Source organism: Homo sapiens, chromosome 1 (assembly GCF_000001405.40).
Source record: "Homo sapiens chromosome 1, GRCh38.p14 Primary Assembly".
Taxonomy (NCBI): domain Eukaryota; kingdom Metazoa; phylum Chordata; class Mammalia; order Primates; family Hominidae; genus Homo; species Homo sapiens.
This window is the reverse complement of record NC_000001.11, coordinates 87,192,319-87,214,537: the sequence shown is the minus strand read 5'-3', so window position 1 is coordinate 87,214,537 and position 22,219 is coordinate 87,192,319. Positions and strand designations below refer to the sequence as shown.

The following is a 22,219-nucleotide window of genomic DNA, read 5'->3' as shown; positions in this document are numbered from 1 at the left end:
TCAATTTTTTGATTTGTAAAATAGGAACAATGATAATACTTACCTCCATAGCATTGTTGTATGAACAGTTTAGATAATGCCTGATAGCAACCAGTGAATGCTGGAAATCACATTATTGTTGTGTTATTGTTTTTGGTGCCATGGTGGGGGTAGTGTCTTTATCCTTCTTCCTAAACACTTGCTTGGCCACAGTACAATTTCAAAATGACATAAGTTTGGCCGGTGTCACCTTCCCCATTACTGACTTCTCCTTGTTTATACAGAGTTTGGCGAATGGCTCTCAAATTAAATAAAATACAAAAGATAATCTACCATCTTGGAACACACAGTACTTGATATTGCAGAGCAAGGAGCCTGCATTCTCCTGGAGCTATTCTTTTTACCTTGGCAGCAGAGTAATTTTCAAATAAATATAAGTTCCAATAGGGACAGTGCCAAGATCCAGTTGTGACAAAGCAACCAGCCAAACGAATAGAGTTATTAGGGATGATCTCCTAAGAAGAGAACTAAATGTTGATTGAATGTGAAAACTATATAATGCTCGACCTTCACTTCAACAGCATGGTATTTTTTAGGATTTGGGGTCAGCCACCTAATTTCCAAATGCCTGGATGTATTCAGAAATCAAACCATCCTGATTTCTCTGAGAAAGATGAGCTAGACCAACAGACTCCCCTAACGATGATTCAGAGGAGATGCCTCCACTTCCCTATCTCTCTTGCTTCTTCTCCCTTTTGCAGATGTAAACATGCCACAAAACAGGGCAAGACATTTGCGAACCAGCTTTGCAGCTGCTTCATTACTCTACTAATATCAATATTAATTTTTGCAGGCTTCCTTTCTCAGCACATCAGGCTAGAGGTGCAACTTGTACACATCCTGGTGTTTGGCAAGGGGATTTGTGAGCCTGCTCTAAAGGGCACCTCCTCTGCCACTTCTCCTGTGGCACCATGCAAAAATCTCGTTCAAGCCCAAGACAGCAGGGAGAGAGCAGGGGAGGCAAAGTCAAGTCTCACAGGCCAGATCACAAAAGCTGAAAAACAAGCACCTGGGTATTATGTGCCTGCCTCTCTGGTGTTTTCGCCGCCAATTTCCTACTTGGCCACATGTGCATGTTTAATTAATGTTCTGCTCATCACCTCCTGCAAGTCATTAATAATGATGCTCTGTAGACGCCGGCCCATCTCAGAGCCTGCCAGAAGCATGCCGCTGGCCACCAGCTCCCAGTCACTCCACGGCCGCCCACCGGCTGCTCACGTGGCCTTCCAGCCAGCTTTCAATACAGGAGACAGCTCAGAACCAGCCCCGTTGAATTCATCTTTCAAGTGAGATTTCTGGATGCATCCATTTCATTTCCTTCACCCACTAATGTTGTGGATTTTTTTTAATTCTATTAAAAAATGCAATTAAATTTGTCTCATGGAATTTGCTCTTTAAAAACCCAGACAGCTGCTTGCTCATGGTGGCATTATGCTCTTGATTCTTACACATGTTTTTCCTCATCTCCATTCCATTACTTTACTGAGGATTAAAGACAGGCTTACCAGATGGCAAATGCCAGGATCTCTTCCCACCCCCACCTCCCGTTCGGAAGACTAGTATCATATCAGCCATAATACACAGCCCAGGTTCCTCTATGCAGCTTTTGGAAGACATGAGTAATTGCTTCATTTAAATTCATTAGTCAATGCCTAAAACACAATTAAAGGGCAGGAGGTTAGGAAGAAGAAAACCTGAGTACTGCTGGGAATGCCACGTCCGGGTCTCTCTCTGTGTGCCTCAGTTTCTTCATCTCTTCAGTCTCACTCGCTTCCTCCATCATTTCTCAGCCATAAAGCATTCATTAGGCTGTGAAGCAAATGAGGTAATGTCTGTGGTGAGATGGTTTGTGCGTTTCCAAAGAAAGACACCATATAAAAAGCATTCTGATTGCTAACAGTCAGGGATGCTGAGGATTGGGCCTGGCTGGCTTTATAAACTATTTAACTGCCTGCTTCTTGCAAAAACTATTTTTATCAGTTAATTACACATTTTTCTTATTAAATAACAATGTGAAAGCATTTCTTGCTCATTTTCCTGTCATGATTAATTTAATCTGCCTCCCTTTATTGAAAGTCCAGTATTCTTCCCCTCATCTTATCCACCCTGACAGGCTAGTAAAAGCCCCACAACTCTTCAGCCCCTTTGATTAACATTAACCCATTCTACTTCCTTCTTTTTCTTATCCAGAGTCCCTGAAAGAGTTTCTTTTTCTCCCCAAACTGTGTGCCTGGTGCCTAAGGAAGCACCGGACGTTAAAGAATGGACCTTGCCCTCACAGATGACTTCCTTCCTCCTTTCCTTTCTTGTGCCCTCTCTCAGGCAAATTCCCAGAGGCAGAAAAGATTGAAACTCAGCCTCCAGCCATGTCCTGCAAGGGAAGGAGGCCAGAGAGTCAGCGAAGGGACCACTGGTCATGTTCGATTTCAGAACAGACACACATGTGATGTGAAAGGGATTGGACAGGAGTGAGAGGGAACGTGCCAACACCACAGGCACTCACTGCCCTGTGGCACTCTTTTCTAAATTATTGGTTATTATTAACTAAAATTACTAATTATAATAAGCAATAATACCATTATTCCATGCTTAAGCCCCTGACATGGAAAGGGGACACGAGGCAGGCCCTCATACTATTGCTGAATGCACAGAAAGAGACTGAGCTTCAAGAAGATAAATCACAATTTTTGAAGCAAAATAGCCAACAATGACAATGACAGAAATGGTAACAGAAGAAGTAACTGCATGTTTTTTTCATCTGTTGCTTGTTGGGGGTAGAATACCGTACAAGTGATGGGATGGCCCTTCTGAGGTTGGGCTGCAGAAAGGCTGTGGCTTCTCTTCTGGATGCCTTCTCTGACCTGCTGGCTCACATCAAGGAAAGCAGCTGCCACGGGGTAAGTTGTCCCATGATGAGGCCCAGGTGGCAAGAACCTAAGGAACAGCCAATGAAACACGGAGGCCCTTTGTCCTAGAGGAACAGAACCCTCTGTCCATGAGGAACAGAATCCCACCAATAACCACACAAGTGGGCATGGAAGCAGATCCTTCCCCCAGCTGAGGATACAGAAAAGGACGCAGCCCCAGCCCCAAATTGATTGCCACCACATAACCAATTTTGAGACAGAAGCACTCAGCTAATCCATGTCTCTATTTCCACATCCCACAGAGACTGTGAGATAGTAAATACCTGTTTTTCTTAAGCTGCTAAATTTGTTACTCAGTAGTAGATAACTATTACACCATCCCTCCCACAGTCAAGATAATCCAGAAAGACCTGCCTCATGGCATACTACAGTCATGAGGAAAAGTACACTGCTGCCCTCCCTCACGCCCACGAACTTGTTAATCAACCAAAACCCTCTTTCTTTTTGGATGTGGTCTTACAACCCTTCCCAACACAACTCTCCAAGCAGGCACCCCCAGTCAGTTGTTCGGAGATGAAAGAAAACTCTTGCTGTCCCTAGAACAATTCAAAGAGAAGAAAACTCCAAGTTAGAAGACCTGATTTCTACTTACAAGCCAACAGGCTTTGGGCAGGTCATTTATACTCTCTCAACTTCATTTTCCTCATTGATAAAGTAGAGATAATCTATTTGGATGCTCTGAGGTAAAAGGAACAGAATACTCAACTTAAAAAATCTAAAGAGAATTTTGTCTTTTCCTAGTCTGCCACCTTCTATGTGTTGGCATCTCCCCTTATGGCCACAGGACGGTTGTAGCAGCTCCAAGCCTCATGTCTTCCCAAAATAATGCCCCTGGGCACGAAAAGGAAGCATTCTTGTCTCCTGGTCTATGGGTATGAAAAAATTTCCCCAAAAGGTCCCCCAGCAGAATTCCCCAGGTGTCATCTTGGCCAGAACCAGCTTACACGCCTACCCCTAAAATCATCACTGGCTGAGTGGATCGAGATTATCCTGATTGTCTGAGACAACCCACATTTCACCCCTGAGGCTGGGAGAGGCCTGGCTTCCCCTGGAGCCAATGGCCATCCAGAGAAGAGCTGGCAAAATTTGAAGTTCTGTGCATGTGAAATGAAGAGGGGCAAGTTGCCGTTGGGTAAGTGTGTTAGTTTGCACAGGCTAGGCCATGCTGGAGTATAACATACATGATGATTAACCCAATAGAAACTTATCTCTTGCCCGCACTACATGCCCAGCACAAGTCAGTGAAGGGCTCTTTCTTTTTGCACAGAGTGACTCAAGATCAGACTCACAGAGGCTCCATCCTATCAGCACAAGGCCTCAGGTTTACTCCAGCAGCAGAGGGAGAAGCTGGAGACGTCACTTTCCCTTATATTTCTTTGGACAGAACCAGTGAGTGACCCTACCCAACTGAAAGTGTAGTCTCCCATGTACTGGAAAGAGGAGAATGAAGCAGGAATTGTTCTGACCCTATTAGGCAAACAACAATGTCTGCAATAAAGTCTTATTTCCTCAGCAGGTTTTTGTGACATTCAAATAAGATAATGTATTAATTCATTTTTCAAACAATCATTAAGCACATAAGATCTACCAAGCACTGGACTGGATACAAGGATATAGATACAAGGATCAATAAGCCACAGTTGCCACCCTCCTGGCAGATATAACCACTCAGAAGACACCAAACTTATCAGAATATCATTCAAAGTTTGTTTGCCCTTTTCTTCCCCTTCCAGGCCCTGAGTGCTCACCTCACAAATTTTATCTCCCTATTGTTGGCTTAAAAGCTTTTGCAATGGTTTCAAGAGGGGTCACTGCCAGAAAAGACAGAGGACTAATCGAGAGTGGCACAGCATCCAGGGACTGTAGTAGAAGATGGTGAGATACTTACAGATGTCATCTTTTCCTTAATCTCTCTTGTCTCACAGAGTGTTAAAACAAATGAGTTTTTACATGGTTTCTTTCCAAAACCCTTTTTGTGTGGTGCATGAGAGAGAAGAGATTCCTGCCTGAGTCAGTTCTAACAGTCCACTCCCCTCCTTCCCCAAGCTTGTCTCCTTTAGCCAGCATTATCAGCAACTTGGTGTTTGATGGCTTCACTCCTTTCATGAGTGTGATCTTCCTCAAGAAGAGGTCATGATGCTGTTAGGATTGACTAACCTGCACTTAGAGATAGACCCTGAAATTGCAGTGGCTTAATATAAAGTGCTCAGCAGGATCACCTGGTCAGTTCAGGGCTGAAGGGAGGGTTTTCTCCATATCGTCTTCAGACACCCAGGCTGATGGTGGTTTTCCATTTTCAACCATGGTTTCTAAGGTTGCCCTAGGCATTGAGAGCCCCACCAACTGGAGAGAAAAGATCACGGGCAGTGCGTGTGGGAGGTTTTCAGTGGGCTGGGCCTGAAAATAGTACCCAGCACCTCTGCCCACAAACCACTGGAGAGAACTCAGTCATGTGACCACACTTAACTGCTAGGGGGGCTGGGATATATCATTTCATCGTGTGCCCAGGAAGAAAGAACAGATTTTAGTGGACAGCTAGCAGTCTCCCCCACACTCACCCACACAACTTCCTATTTTTCAACTTGGCAAAAGCTGAGTCCAGGGAGTATTTCTATACAGCAATGTACTCTTTGGCCTGCCAAGAGGCCACATTTTTTATGTGAGAAGTTTCACAAATATCTTGGTGCGATTAATGGGCAAAGACCTGACTCCACCCATTCTTCCTGTGGTATCACTACACCTAGATTCTTGGTTAAGTCCTCCAATACTAGACATAAAACCTTAAGGATGTGAAGTGATCCAGACATTTCCAACCTAAGGAGAAATCAAAGGATGCTTCCCATGTAAAATTCATCTTTTTCCAAATAGTAACCAAAAAGATAAAGGCTTATGTGACAATAAATTCAGCAGCCATGAGACTTGAGGAAGGGGGCTTCCTAGACACCTTCCATGCATTCACCCCCTGAACACATGTTTACTGAACATCCGGTGTGTGCCAGGCACTGTATTAGGCACAAGAGATACACTGATGAACCAGAATGATGTGTCTTGTGGACCTCAGAGACTAGATCAAAGGAAGAAAGTACACGAGAATATAAAGGAAACACATATCATGATAATTATAAGAAAAAAATCAGGCCAAGGCAGAGCATAACAGCAGGAATGGGGAAGGGTGATGTGTAAATGAAGACCCTAAGGATAAGGTGTTAGCCACGCAAAGGGAGTGAGGGAGGAGGTGGGCACTGCAAGTAGAGGACACAGCGTGTGCAGGGGCTGGGAAAGGGAGAGTGCAGTGTGACTGAGGAACAGAGAGTTGCCAGTGTGGCTGAAGATGAGGAAAGAAGCATGAGTGGGAGATGAAACTGGAGAAGCCAGCCAGAACCAGATCATGAAGAGTTTTATAGGTCATGATGGCAGGCATTTGAATTTGAATCTGAATGAAACAAGAAGCCATCAGGGCCTTTAAGATGTGAAGGGACATGATTCCAACTGTATTAGTTAGCTAGGGCGGCCATAACAAAGTACCACAGGCTGAGTGACTTAAACAGCAGAAATTTACTAACCAGATCATGAAGAGTTTTATAGGTCATGATGGGAGGCATTTGAATTTGAATCTGAATGAAACAAGAAGCCATCAGGGCCTTTAAGATGTGAAGGGACATGATTCCAACTGTATTAGTTAGCTAGGGCGGCCATAACAAAGTACCACAGGCTGAGTGACTTAAACAGCAGAAATTTACTGTCTCATCGTTCTGGAGGCTAGAAGTCCAAGAGCCAGGTGTTGGCTGTGTCATTTCCTCCTGTAGGCTCTGAGGGAAGATCAGTTGCAGGTCCCTCTCCTAGCTTTCGGTGGTTGGCTGGCAATCTTTGGCACTACTTGTAGACGGTGCTTAACTGTGCCTTCTCAACATCTTTTCTCTGTACAAGGCTCTTTCTCTCCAAGTGGCATTCTTTTTATAAGGACAACAGTCATATTGGGTAGGAGCCCAAATTCCGCATGACTTCATCTTAACTAACTATATCTGCAATGACCCTATTTCCAAATATGGTCACATTCTAAGGTACTGGGGTTACAACTTCGTATAATTTTGGGGTGGGGACACAAGTCAACCCATAAAACCCACATTTTAAGATTAGTCTCTGCTAAGTATGAATGGGAAGAAGGGGTGATTGGAGTGGAGGTGCAGAGGCAAGATCTGGGAGACTAGGGTCACTGCTGCCTAGGTGAGAGTTGATGTGGGCCTGGGCTAGGTGTCCCAGGAGATATTTTGTTGCTAAAACCAGCATGACTGCTGATAGACTGTATTTCACTGGTGACAGAAAGGGGTGAAGCAAAAATAACACTTCAGTTTCTGGCTTGAGCAAGGAGGAAGATGTTGATGTAATTGAGGAGATGAAAAGCAACTGGGGGATAGAGACATGTTTTGGGGTAGACTACCATGGTTTTATTTGGGTAATGTTAAGTTTGAGATATGTATGAACCAGCCAAGTAGTTATACCAAGTAGACAGTTGCATATAAGGATCTGGAACTCCAAGGAGAGGTGTGCTCTAGAGATTTAAATGTGCAGTCATGAGTGTAGAGAGGAATTAAAGTCACCAAGAACAACTGAGGTGCAGAGCCATTGTTGCTCCTTCTCAGGGTTGGTCATTCTTCTCAGAGGGCTGAGATCCTGACTGTCAAACAAGCCAACCCCTGACTGTTCCATCTCAGGCTTCACACAGATTCTCTGGGTCCTTGGTTTCTAGAGAACATGAAGACAGTGCTCCAAATTCTCTCCCAGGTTTATACAAACTATTCATCATCTGCGTCCAAGAACACCCACACAGCCCAAGGTACACAGCTACCTACATCGTATGAACATTGGTGAACACACAGACGCACGCCCCGTCCCTTCAACAGAAATGACCTAAACTTTGTGAGGTTCACATGTCCCTAGAGATGATCTCATTTGCCTGCTTCAAAAGCGCTTTGGTCTGCACAGCCTGTAGCAGCAAATTTACACTTCAAAAAGCAGACAGCTTTTTCCACATCTTATTCACTTAATGGGTGAGAATGTAAAATTAGTTCCGTTGCTGATGAGGACCTTGAGCCAAATGAAAAGTGTTCATTTGTCAGCACAGACTTACAGCCTGAGACATGATTATATAGCTAATCCAATAATGGGTTTTGATGCTGAGCATTTATTTATATACAGTATGTCTTGTTATCTGTTGATAATCAGGACCTACAATTTACTCTTTCTTGTGCGTGTAGTGTGAAATAGCAACATCTTCCAGACATATTGCATTTAAGTACCAACATGCAAACACATACAAAAAGCGCCATCATCAGCAAAATATTTTATTTGCTTTCTTTAAGAAAGAGAGAGAGAGCCAATGCATGTATTCAGGCTTTTATATTTTTGGATATAATAGTAAATAACATATGAAGTCTCTTTCAAGGCTATATAAGGGTTAAAAAAGAACACTGAAAACAAAATTTCCTTTATGATTTTGATCCACCCAAATCAAGTGATTTCTTCCTCTTGCTCTCTAAAAATTCTATCTGCAGGTCAAATCCTACACATATTTTTACATATAGTGGTATAAACCAAAAAGATACCTGGCAAAAATCTTCACAGTGCCACCAACTGACTCTCTGACTACCTGAATCTTTCAGATACTCTGCTTGTTGCAAAGGTGCGCATTATCACCATGTGAGCATGGGAACTGTAATAATTATCTCAGGCAAAATCTTTCTTTAAAAAATAGTAACTTAAAATTAAATATAAAACCACCACATTTCTATAAACTCTTGCAGAGACTACATACTGCTACATTATATTGTTTCTTACCCTGTGGATGAGCGTAAATGTCTGTCACTAAAATATAGGGACACTCTCATCCTAATATAAATATAAAATGCATAAAATCCAACATTTAAAACAAGCAGGCATTTTTATAGGTATGATGCCTTGTCACATATTCCAGCTATAATAAAGCCTACGGGAAGGGAAAAGCACGTCAGGATTAAGTATTCTGTTCATTGCAAATGTGTAGCACACCTGTAAAATCTGTGAAAAATCCCACATTTTGGAAAAGTCACTGCAAGTTCCTTTCCATGCTACCATCTCTTGGACAGGCCTAGAAAAATCCAGAACAAATGCAGCGGAGCATCAGAGAGCTGTTATCTCCAGCTGCCACTTTTCCCCACTTAGTGATCCCCAGCACAAAGGAAGCTGAGAGGACTGGTCACTCTATGATATATGAGAAGGAAGAGGGGCAAGCACGCTTTTTTAAACTGAAATTTATTCCACAATAAATACTTCAATGTTGGTGGGACATGATGTTTTATTGGATTACACTCGTTTGCTAGAGAAATCACACTGGGAATAGCAAAGCTTGCGGTTTTGTGGGTAATGCATTTGTAGATGTGAGGGTTTTACACTGGAAGTGTGTTGAAGAAGGATAACAAGCCAAATTAGGAAATAGCCAAATACATGCAAATCTCTATTAGGGCAATACTTGGCCGCGTTAAGTCCAAGAGCTTTCTGCGGCAGTTGCTTTACCTAGGCCAGATAATTCATTAGGTTTTGACTCTGGTAAAGATTAAATGAATATAGCATACATTACATTCTTACTTTCGTCGCAGAAACAAATCTTCCTTGTACCAGCCAGTGTAATCTTCAGAGTTTTCGTTATATAAAACACCTCAAGAAAAATGCACCTCAGTAAGATTTACACTTTATTACTCTAATGATTCTACAAACACTACCACAATGTGATGAAAGACAGAGTAGTCCCGGACTGATTGAGAGCTAATAAAAATCAGTACTGAAAACTGAAAAGAGCACCCTTATCATCTTTCTTTCATTTAGAGCTGATTACTAGGGGATTATAATGCAATCACAGCTATGTGTGAGAGGTAGCTATGGGAACCAGTTTTAACTGTTTATCTAGCCAAAGATCTTAATTTAAGTTTGAACACTCTGATTCATTTATATGTAAGACACCAAGGAGACAAAATGCAGAAGAAACAGATGCGCACTTGTTCTTTCCATTTAACTTCGTAAGCTACCAGCCAATTTGTCTTTCAGGGACAAAATTAATTTCTGATGACAATGTGAGCAAGTAATAAACTAGAAGTTCCTGTCCTGGGAAACTTGTTAATGCCATGTAATGTTCTGGAGTTATTTAGGAGGGGAAGAAAGAGATTTGCTCCTGGAGTTACGGGGACATCTGTAACAGACTTGCCTTTGTCCCAGCTCTTAGTCACCCCTGCAGAGGTTTATGACACCTTTTCTAGAAGTTGAATTGGGAAAGTTTAAAAGAAACCATGTTACTTACCATTTCTTTCCTATGGAGTATTTTTAAACTTCTCATTTTCCTTCATATTCTCCACATGATTCAGAATTGCTCAGAGCACAAACCTCTGGCCCATTGCTTCCCAGCCTTGGCATACAGGCAAGGCGAGTAATGATGAGATGAAAAATGAATCATAAGGCTTCCTTCGTGGGTCCCACGTTGCTGTAGAACACAGCCCTTTGCAGACAAGTGCACTCAACCTGAGGGGCTCGAGGCCATGGCAAACACTTCACAGAGGGGCCCAGGATGTGTGCCAGGACATCTCAGGGATGGGATTCAGTGTGCTAATCCGCTGCCAGCCAGAGAGAAGGGTGCCAGTCAGCTAAATGAAAGGCATGCACATATTTACTTGGATGGGAATTGAGACTGGCCACCTCCTTGAAAGCTATCTATGATGCTACCTATTTCCTCATGTCAGTGAGAATAACCATAATGATAATAACAAAAGCTAGCACTTACTGAACATTTACTGTATACCAGAGAATAAGATGGACACTCTACATACATTACTTCGTTTAATTAGCTCAAAACCCTATGAAGAAGTCATTTTTATGGCCATTTTTTTGGGCAAGGAAACTGAGTCACACAAAACCTAACTTGTCCAATGTCATGGCTAGCAAATGCAAAAGTCAGCGTCTGAACTCCATCTGTCAGACTACAAAACTGATGTTTTCTAGCGCTCTGAAAGGGAAACCTTGACAGCGTTCTTTATCTTGGCCATTAATGTTTTCCCATCTTATTACAGTAGTCACCTCTTATCTGCAGAGGTTGCGCTTCAAGATCCCCAGTGGATACCTGAAACTGAGAGTAGTACTGAACCCCATGCAGACTATGTTCCCGCCTATACATACACACCTATGATAAATTTTGATTTCTAAATTAGGCACAGTGAAAAATTAACAACAATAACTAATAAAATAGAACAATTATGACAATATGCTGTTAAGTCATGTGAATGTTCATTCTCTCTCTCTCTCTGCCTCTCTCTCTCTTTCTCTCTCTCTCCCCTCCTTCTCTCTCTCAAAATATCTTACTGTACTGTACTCACCTATTTTCAGACTCAGTTGACCACGGGTAACCGAAACTGTGAAAAGCGAAACCACAGATAAGGGGACTAACGTACATACCCAGTTTTTTCTGTCTCTAAATTGTGTTCGTCTGTTAACCCATAGGCTCTGTGCTCCGCTCCCCACTCACTCCCACCCCCGACTTCCCCAGCTCGTATTTTTCTGCTCTCCGGGGGAACTCCCCACGGCATAATGGCTATCCATTAGTGTGTTTTTAAAACCTCGCTTTCTCCTATCCTCTGACAGTTTTCATATGCTCCACATGAAGGATCCTTTTCCAGAAATACTTTTGAAGAAAGTCTAAAGTAAGCTGAAAAGTATTACATTTTTCATCTCAACGGGGAAATGGATTTACGAAAAGGAGAGAAGAGCCTGCAGGTCTTTCAGATTTTAAAAAGAATTCAACACACTGCTGCACTGGCACTGGGAACACATCTATCACAGAAACCAAGAGAGCATCTGCATTTACACGCGGAAACGATTCCTTCGTCCTTGATCACGATAATGACTTAGAGTTCCGCTGAGCCTTTCATCCAGAGGGACGCCATGGCCCCTGCAAAAGCCAGCCCAGTGAGAGGCTCCTTCCACCACCAAGGCGCTGCTTCCTCCAAGGTGAAAGGAGGAAACGGCTCTATTAGGGGAAAATTGAAAATGACAAGCAAGCACTGTAAATTCTGTTTCCAAAGGCAACTAAAATAACCCGACTGTCCGTCTTTAATTGTCCCATCTAGAACTTGGGCATAACAATGTGGTCCCGAAGAAACCATCTACAGAGCATTAATAGCAAGACATACATAAAAGAAGGGAGTTGCTTTCTGGGCCTAGAGAAAGCCATGATCTGTGAGCACTAGGACATTTTACTAATTGCCTTATTTCCGGTTTTTAAACCTAGGTCAGGCAACTGGAGGACATTCCCTAAACAATTTCTGCATGCTTCCCCTTGACCTCAGGAGTCCAGTGGGATGAGTGCAATGACAGACACAGGCTAGTTTACTGTTTGGGGCAGCGCAGAGCTGCTTCCCTGGCTGATTGTAAACGATTGGATGAAACATAACCAGCGTCACCGGCTATTGTTCTGCAGGTCCTGGAACCCAGGGTGAAAGTCAGACTCACACTCAGCAAGGCACAACTCAGAAGTTGCCGTTCCAGCCAGGTGGCGGGTGGGCCCTGGGCTAGCCACACAGCCTTAACTAATCAGCAGGTGGCAACTTGCCTCTGTCAGGAGGCGCCGCTTGTCCTCTGCCTGGAATTCCTCTCTCCTATTTCCATCCTTATCCACCGCCAATACTCCACTCAGGTGTCATCTTCTCCAGGTAGCCTTTCTAGAACCCCTTAAAGTTGGGCTAACTGTGCCCCCTCTGTGTTTCCATAGCATCATGCACATACCTCAGGAACGCCATCGCCCACATTGTATGATAAATAGGCATCATTTTATTGAAGACACACGTGCCACTCACCATGCTAAGCACTTCACACATAAATATCTCTTTTCACCCGAGGTACTATCATCCCCATTTTACAGGTGAGGAAGTTGAAGGTCAACAAGATTGAAGTCCTGCAACTAGTAAATGGCAGAATTGGGATTTGAAATTAGGACTTTCTGCCCCCACGAGGCACACTTGCCCCCAATGATTTCAGCACCCTGAGGCTGGAATCCTATTGTATCCATTTCAGTAGCCCCAGCACTAGCACTTGCCAGGCACTTATAGGCCCTCAGTGCACACTTATTGTACTGACACACAGGGGGAAGTCTATGGGGAGCTAACTGACCTATGTTAAGATAGCAAGTGAGCTGGCCTCGGTAGCCTGGCATGCTACCAAACTATTCTTATTTGTCTGGGTAACAATAGAGCTGTTTTTTGTTTGTTTGTTTTTGTTTTGTTTTTAAAAAAAAAAGAAAGGAAGAAAGTTGAAACGTTTAGGCAGGGTCCTTGGTGTCATGCTGACACTTCAGAAAATGTGTTGTCTTCCTGAATTCAGGTGTTCTTTTCACTGAATTCAGTCAAACCGGTTCTGCAGATTGACACAGGAGGTGTAACCTATAGCAATTCAATTGTTATGCATCACTGCATAATCACTTCTGTCATCCATCCCTGTCCTTCGGCAAGGCTGCTGCCGCCACTGTGGGAGCAGCTGCATATTTCCCCAGAGACTGAGTGTGGTGGAGCACCCCGCGTGGCGTGCAGGGATCATTGTGGCAGAGCCCATCTCCATGGGATAGCAAGAGGCTATGCTGTCTGACAGGTGCGCAGCCCTGCTCATCCTTCTCCTTTCTTTTCCACATCCCAGAACTCAAGTCCATCCCTTCTTTTGTCTTCATAAGGGTCTCCCTTCCATCCTTTCTTACTGTCCCTGCTACTGCCCTGGCACAGGCCATAAGCAAGTTGCCACTGGCCTCCTGACTACAGTTGGCCCAGGTCACTCTGCATGCTGCTGTCATGTCATCCCTACCCTGACCCACTGAATACCTCATCCTGCCTGATCTTCAAAAGCTAGTTTTGATTGCCTTCAGCATAAAGTCCACAGTCTCTTGATGCCCAAGCCCTCCACCAGCTACCATTCCAAGCTTATTTTCTACTATTCCCCAACTTAACCCTGCTGAGCTTTTAGCTGCTGTCCTCACTGGTCCCCAAACCAGCTCTGCTCTGCACTGGACCCCACATCCATACACACCCTGCGCTTTACTCAGGCCAGCCCAGTGCTTGCTCCTCTCTGGAATCATCAGTGATGGTTGTCTTCTTTGAATTCTCGTAGCTCCTGTCCACTTTACAGTCAGTGATCTGGTATATCATCTTAGGTAAATGTATGTTGTTGTTTAACTTCGTAGATATTTGTGTACAATATTCCTAGGGAAATCATAGGTTCCTTGTGGGTGGAGACCATCTTTCTCACCTATCTCTGCCCCATGAGGACCTAGAACAGGCAGTGTTTTAGTGATTGTTCAATGCCATTTAGCTAGACTGTGCACAATCCATTCCAGGCATCCCAGAGTCCCTGTAATACCACAAATGTACCATTTTATCTCTTATTTCCAGGTATTTGCATGAGATGTTCCTTTTACCTGGAACTCTTCAACTTTCACACTCCCCACTCCTCCAGCTCTGGTTTTCCTGGAAAGCTACTTGGCCTCAGCTTAGATATCACTGCTTTCAGTGAGTCCTCCCTTACCTCCATGAGACCAGATGAGGGTTGGATCCCCCAGCAGCTATGTTAACTCCAATCAGTGATAGTTATACTATGTGTTCGTTAAGACCCTTTTGATTATGTGTGATGGAGAAGCAACTCAAGCTAAGAAAAGTAGGTAATCTATTGGCTCAGGTATCTGCAATGGCCAGGGCAAAGCTGGACTCAAAGTATGTGGCCGGTTTACATTCTCTCTTGGTTTCTCCTCATTCTCTTTCACTTTTTCTCTACCTAGTGGTTCTGCTTCTTATCCTCTATGCAGCAGAAACTAGAAGGGGGAAGAGAGTGCTAGAGGACAGTCTGACTTTGAGGATACTGGGTTTAATCATCACAACAGCCTCCAAGGAAATGGAGCTGCCTTCTCCCAGCAGCCACACAGTAAACCCCAGGGAACTACTCTCATTGAGCTTGCTTCAGTTTGCAGGTTTATTCCTGGGCTAATCACTGTGGCCGCAGGTATGGAGATGAAGTCTGTAACCTGTCCCCCACCACAGTGTCATGGGGAGTAGAGGTGAACTACTATGATTGCCACCCTTCCCAAAGCCACTTGGAATTGAAAAAGAGAAGTTCTCCATAGGAAAGAGAATCTTATTACCAAAAAAAAAAGATAGTAGATAAACAAAAACAATATATATTCACTACACAACATGTCTGCCTCTTGCATCTGCTGAAAGTTACTTGTGGATATAACTGAGCTTTGGTCATTATCTGTCCTTGGTACCTGGCACATGGGAATGCCCAGTGAATATTTGTTAAATATATGAATGAATGGATTCTCTGAGTGCCAATCAAATACCCTAAGTTCTAGACAAGGGAACACAATGTCCTGTTTTAAAAAGCCTAAGAGTTCATACAGTGTCCACTGGCCACTGCCGTTTTGCTTTCCCAGCCAATGCAGTAGTGGCTACCAGTGGGTTTTTGGAGAACCCACCTTGACTGCTCAACAAATCCATAAAGTGTCCAAACAAGGAACCTAAATTTACCTTAGATCTGGCAAGATGTGAGCCTAAGGTCACTCACCTACCTCCTTAGGCCTGAATCAATCCAATGCTGTGATTGCAAAAATATACAAAGCAGGACTCTATCAAGGCAGAGGACAACAGGAGAGATGCTTCAGAAAATCAACAAGATGCCTGTGTTTCTCACCAGATGGAAGTAAAGAAATATGGTAAGTGAGTTGCTTTATTTGACCATTCTGTTAGTATATGCTAACAACCTAAGAATATTCCACTCTGAGATTATAACAAAATTTGGCTTCTATGCCCCTACTCAATGGCAAGCTCTTAGAGCACAAGGACCCTATCTTTAACTACTTTGTTATTCCCAAAGTGATTGGCACAACAAAGATGCACAGAGAGGCTGGAACTAAAGTACCTCAATCTATCTGGAGTTTTTATAAATCTAATTCTGCAAACCCAAATCTGATATGCTACTGAATTTCAGAGACAGTGCCATCACCTTCATTGTCTCGTTGCTTCCAGAAGAACTTTATTTATAATGATGGAGTTCTTGTATTTCTTCTTAGGCCCTATCATTAACATAAACAAAAATGCTTTTAAAATCTATTTTAAAATGTGGGTCTTACCCATTTTCTTGTCATCTGCCAAATGCCTGTAGTTTTTCTAATGAATTAGGCACCACAACATACAATAAATGTGGTGCTCATACCCACTGGTCCATCTTTACAGAATTTTGGCCAAATGCATGCGTGTGCGCACACACACACACATACACACACACACACATCTTTAAATAATAAGTTCCTTTGGAATCCCTATGGGGTATGATATGAGAAAGCTATATTCCTTAGTCTCAGGATGCCCAGGCATTACAAAAAATTTTGGAACAAACTTTAAGAAGGCTTATTTTAAACCTTAAATTCATTAAAATTTTTGGTTTATTACTGTATTAGTGTGTTTTTACACTGCTGATAAAGACATACTCAAGACTGGGCAATTTACAAAAGAAAGAGGTTTAGTGGGCTTACAGTTCCACATGGCTGGGGAGGCCTCATAATCACGGCAGAAGGCAAGGAGGAGCAAGTCACATTTTATGGGGATGGTGTCAGGCAAAAAGAGAGAGAGCTTGTGCATGGAAACTCCTGTTTTTAAAACCATCAGATCTTGTGAGACTTATTCACTATCATGAGAACAGCATGGGAAAGGCCCATCCCCATGATTCAGTTATCGCCCACCAGGTCCCTCCCACAACATGTGGGAATTATAGAAGCTACAAGATAAGATTTGGGTGGAGACACATAGCCAAACCCTATCAATTAATAAGTACACCTTGGTGTAAAACAATTGGTGATATTGTCATCTAATTTATTTTCCAAAGACTTCTGTTAACTTTATAACAAAAAATGGTAACTTTTTAATAAATACCAAAGATATAATTAACTAATAATCTTCTATCTGGTCTTTGCACCATCATTCTTTCTTCCTCCTTCACAACTTGGATTCACAAACGCTTCTTAAACACATTGTAGCCTCTTAAGGAGAACTCTGATTATGTATTTATTCTCCTAATCTCCTGGCAAGTCTATAATTCAACTATCTTGGCTGGTATTCCAGAACTTCCCTAAGCTCCCAGCTCTCTTGCTAACTGACCACTTCCTGCACTGTTACCACATGGACACTCTGCACTTGGCTTTCCGACTCACCCACCAAACACTGAATACAGCAGGCTCTGCCTCTTGGCCATAATATACTCTTGGCCATAATATATTCTTTGCCTCAATTATTTGGCCTCTCTTATTCACCAGTCAAAATTCTACTTTTTCTTCAAAGGACAAATTATGTCCTACAGACATAAGAAGGCTTCCCTGAGCCCCTAATCCTAGAGTTCCCAACCTGTGAATTCATGACTCTGAAGGTCTGGCCTCTGACCTGGCACTTAGGTACTGACATCTACCTTATCTCTGTTTTCCCCTAATTTTCCCTGCATATATTTGCAACTCCATTGGGTAATTAACATAATGAGCACAGAAATTAGTTTGTTATACTTCCCTTTGTTACTCAGCCCAACATTGTAATAGTTTCTCAACAAATGTTTAATTAAAAAAAAAATTCTGGCTGTTTTCTGATATACCCAAAGAACATTAGAAGAAAAAAGTCTTCTATTTTAAACCACTTAACTATTCCTTCTTTAATACAGGATAAGTATGAGCTAAAAAGATAGTTAACTAAAAAGTGAGTGGAGTTCTAATTAAGAAAGTTGTCTCCTGAGAATTGACTTCCTCATAGAGTATAGGGTTAGGAATTTATTTAGGAAAGGGGAGGACAGACTATAAGGCGGGAGTCTCCTGCATGGGTCTTTCCTACTGTTTACTTCGAGGTAGTGCATACACCCAGGAGAGCAGATACATCCATATTCAGAGACAAATTCAAAATTATAGAACAAAGAGCTCTGGTTCATGATGATGTTCTGAGCACAGATATCTGCCTTCCCTTCCTCCAAAGATCCTATAGAAATTATAGAAAAGATGTCTTTGAAAATAATGAAACGAAAACTGTTCCAGAAAAGTAGAATGCAACGTAGCCTAGAAATGGAGGAATTCCTGGACAACACAAAGCACATGACACTAGAATGACAGTGAAATGAGAACTGAGGAAGCTGCAAGGAAGTCCTGGACAAGTTCCAAGCTCAACAAATGCAAAGCTGGAGGGGTAGGGAGAGGTAGCAGGGTGGGGAGTGAGAAACCATGGAGCAATTAATTAAAAGAACTGCATTTGGAACAGCTGAACCAATGAGGCAAATGTTCCCCACACCCCTCGCCCGTGCCTGCAGATCAGTTAACAATTTAGTGGCTTTTGCCTTCCGGTTAAAGCCAGAAGAATTTCTCCCTAGAGAAGGGGAGTATTCTGCCTAGATGGGGGTCCTGTACTGGGGCTGGGCACTGAGGTAGAAGCAGAGTAGAGCTGGAGAGAATTCTGGACTTCTGCAACAGCTGCCAAGAAGAAAACTGTAAAATGTAAGGTGGCTCAGCCTTAAATATTAGATAACCAGTTATCCTGGGTGACTCAGATTGCTCCAGTTTATGTTATAATCTCCACACAATTAACATTTTTCCTTTCACTCTCAAATATATCCTAGCTTGAGTTATAAGTTATGTAGTCACTTTATCCATGAGTGAAAAACAATGAAGCCACATTTTTCAAACCCAAGCCCAGGCACTGTATAAGGATTCGATCCTCCCCAGACTTGTCTGTCTGTTCAAATCATCATCCATACATTGGGTTCTCACGTCATTTGTCCAACACAAGACTTGGATGCCATAGTAAACACAAATGCAAATGTGGGTTCTTACATGTTTGTCATATTAGGTACTTCAGAATGTGCAACTGATATTTTAAAAGATTGTCACTAAAATGAAAACCAAATTTTAAATTCTCTTAAATTTTAGGACTCGTCAGCTCCTAAGAATATATAGTAGAGACACATTCCAAGAATTACTAAACATTTAAGGAAATGATGAAAGCAAAGAAGGAGGAACAATTTACCTTATAGGGAACAGAGATTATTCAAAAAATAAAATAACATTGTTTAAAAATTCAATTAATTTCAGAAGAGATTCAAGAAGACAACATATTCAATAACCAAAAACAAGGTGCTGTTTTTCTTAAATTGTTCAGAGAACAAAAAGGAATTATTGGAAATAGAAAAACATAATATCTAAATAAGAAATTTAATGGACAATCTGAATGAATACACTATGGATGACAAATGGAGATCTGGAAAACTCCAAGAAATCTGTCAAAATATGGCACAAACTGACAAGATAGTAAATGTGATAAAAAATAGAGATTATGAGTCAGTAACTGGCTAATCAGAGTTCTAGAAACATAGGACAAAATCTACAGAAGAAAAGAAATAACCAAAGACATAATACAAGAGAAGTTTTTGCTCTGGTGGAAGACACAAGTCTTCAGATTTAAAAGCCAGACCAGATGATGAGCAGTGTGAATTTAAAAAAAAAAAGAAAGAAAGAAAAAGAAAGATCCATTTCAAGATATATCCTGATGAAATTTCAGGAAGCCAAGGATAAAGAGAAAATCTTACACTACCATAGAGAAAAAATAGACTATTCACAATAAAGGGTAGATTGACAGATTTCTTAACAATACTTGATGCTAAAAAGTAAGTAGAGTAGTGCATTCAAAGTCCTAAGAAAAAGTATTTCAAAATTAGAATTCTGTATTCAACTGTAGGAGGGAAAGGTAATATTTTTCTTCACCCATCGCAAGGATCATGGCAGACACTCCTATAACAAAAGACAGGTTAGCAGGAGGAAAACATAACAAATTTATTCAATAAAGTTTTATGTGGTATAGGAGCCTCCAGATTTTCCCTGAATCTTCCCTGAAAATTCAGGGAAAACTGTATTTTTTTTATGCTGAGTCTGATAAAAGAAGTGGCTAGTTGTGGAGAAACATGACTGGACAAAAAGGGTATGATCAAATGGTAACAAACTGAGAGAGGAACCCCACAAGGCCTGTTTGTTCAGATTCTTCTTGGCCTGCCTGTGTAGCATTTCTTACCTCCAGGTATGGAGTAGGACATGTGTCACATGAAGACCTTATGACCTACTTTCAGAAGAGGTACTTTGGAGAGTGATTTTTCTAGGTTTTATGGCTTGCTTTGGGGAAGAGGAATTCTAGTTTCTTATGACCCATCTCTGGGGAGAATGAGAGAAGGAGAAAAGGGAGTGGGGAGATCAGGAAGGCCTTGCTTCTGAAGTTCTCCTTTCTCTTTCAGTTCAAAGTACTCAGCATGCCACAGCGCCACATTTTGAGATATTGTGTTCTGAGCCCTGAAACAACTAAATGGTGTGTGTGTGCATGTGTGTGTGTGTGAGAGAGAGAGAGAGAGAGAAATGGGATAAAATAAAGATATCTGAAAAACTGCAAAGGCTAAAAAGTTTGCCATTATCAATTCTATGTGAAAAATTACTCAGAAAAGCAAACAAACAAAGAAGTCAAAGATAGACAACATGAGAGATTTTTTAAAAAGAGTCCAGTTTAGCCAGAAGACATGAATACAGCTAAAAAGGCACTTTAAAAGAATCCCTTTGACCTTAACACTCAGAATTCTCACTTGAGGGAAATACGATGGTGACCCAGGATTCATTTTTTATTCTTTAGACCCAAACACAGACTCATGGGTTGTGTAGTGAATAATATTTCATAACCATAGGACTGTTTTTTAATTTTTTAAGTCAAACTATGAACTCAGTACAGAAAACATATAATCACCAAAAATGTAAATGTAAACTTTAACAATGTGAAAATGACATAATTAATCAAAATTGGGAGAAAAAGAGAAGAATTACAAGGAAGTGTAAGTAAATTAATCTAACTTCATGTTGCATAGCAAGGAGTCAATAGATCTAAAGTTGATAAATTAGTGGGTAGAAGTACACTACTTGAAGTTGTAACAGTAACTATGACAAGAACTAAAGAGTTAAACACTTTTAACAGTTATTACCTATGAGTGGCTTGTTATCTTATAGCACTCCCCACTTTACCATTCTTTACATGCATTTGTATTATTTTTCTAATTTAAAATTAATATCTTTCAAGCTTTGGATTATGTGCCTTCACAATCTCCAAAGGCCAAAAGAAATGATTTATTTTGAAATATCTCTTTTTGACAAAAATTGAGCCATCCACCCAATTAGAATTAATCACTGTAGTTCTAAGGAAAACTCATCGTTGACTGGGCAGGCTGTTCTAACTAGGCCATGTGGCAGAATGAAAGCTCTTAGAAGGCCCAGTTGAAAGTAGAAAGGCTACTTTATGTGGCCAGCTTCCACCTAGCATCTTTCCATATTAATTGGTGACAGGGACAGCCACCAGCCACAGGATGGTTCTTATGGCAAGACTCACCCCTTTCAAGTGTGTTGCGTTTTTATGCAGACATTATCTCCCTGGGGTAGGTGTGGACAGAATTATTATTATTTCCACATCATAGATGATCAAATGGGCACACCAAAAAATTAAGTGGAAAAGTCCCAGGACTTAAACCCAGTTACCCTAACTCCCTTATCACACTCAGATAACAGGACAGGATTTTTACATTGCTGAAGGCAAGGAAATGAAAAGGCTGCAGCTTCTATTTACTCAATGACCATAAGGTTAATGAGAAAGCCATCAACCTTCACCACACACATATCCCCAAACCATTATAAATTCGATTAATCAAAGTTTGGAAGAAACCAATAAAATATCCCTTTTTCTTAGCCTGATAGCTTGATCTGAACTATGAGTTCAAAAACAAAAATACTCTTCTGTAATCTGAAGAGATCTTAAACAATTACCTTTTGTACTCCTTTCTCTACTATGAACAGTTATAAAAACATGCTTTTAGAAATAACCAGTTTACTATTATTTAGTGACCAATTATGTAGTTGGTGCATTATCCAGACCTTTTACAATCTGTTCTTTTACGTAATGATTTTAATGTTTCCTTTTGTTTTCCACTCTTTTACTATTCCCAATTTCCTCGATCATCATTACTATACGTCCTGTTAAGAGTTTTGACTGAAAAAAAAAAGTACACTAAGTTTGTGGTATTTGCTGGGAATTTCATCTCTCCATGTTATGCATCCCTCCCACTAGCAGAAGAAAGAATCAACGTTGGAAACAACCTGTTTCATA

The 22,219-nt window shown here is 41.6% G+C and overlaps 1 long non-coding RNA gene across 1 annotated transcript in view, besides 4 other annotated features; it reads right to left on the bottom strand.

Annotated features, from left to right (window-relative positions):
* Positions 1–1,869, bottom strand: part of LINC02801 (long intergenic non-protein coding RNA 2801) — a 38,663-nt gene extending 36,794 nt beyond the window's left edge. The window contains exon 1 of the long non-coding RNA NR_167752.1: positions 1,734–1,869. This is a non-coding gene — a long non-coding RNA (long intergenic non-protein coding RNA 2801). The remainder of the gene's footprint in view (positions 1–1,733) is intronic.
* Positions 11,306–11,365: a silencer, noted in NCBI's record as "silent region_1043". NCBI's record gives its function as "represses an Ori minimal core promoter by ATAC-STARR-seq in GM12878 lymphoblastoid cells {active_cell/tissue: GM12878}" and the evidence as "EXISTENCE:reporter gene assay evidence [ECO:0000049][PMID:35858748]".
* Positions 11,586–11,635: an enhancer, noted in NCBI's record as "active region_1287". NCBI's record gives its function as "activates an Ori minimal core promoter by ATAC-STARR-seq in GM12878 lymphoblastoid cells {active_cell/tissue: GM12878}" and the evidence as "EXISTENCE:reporter gene assay evidence [ECO:0000049][PMID:35858748]".
* Positions 13,037–13,536: an enhancer, noted in NCBI's record as "OCT4-NANOG-H3K4me1 hESC enhancer chr1:87666685-87667184 (GRCh37/hg19 assembly coordinates)". NCBI's record gives its function as "activates a minimal SCP1, AML or CMV promoter by ChIP-STARR-seq in naive H9 embryonic stem cells {active_cell/tissue: H9 hESC(naive)}" and the evidence as "EXISTENCE:reporter gene assay evidence [ECO:0000049][PMID:30033119]".
* Positions 13,537–14,038: an enhancer, noted in NCBI's record as "OCT4-NANOG-H3K4me1 hESC enhancer chr1:87666183-87666684 (GRCh37/hg19 assembly coordinates)". NCBI's record gives its function as "activates a minimal SCP1, AML or CMV promoter by ChIP-STARR-seq in naive H9 embryonic stem cells {active_cell/tissue: H9 hESC(naive)}" and the evidence as "EXISTENCE:reporter gene assay evidence [ECO:0000049][PMID:30033119]".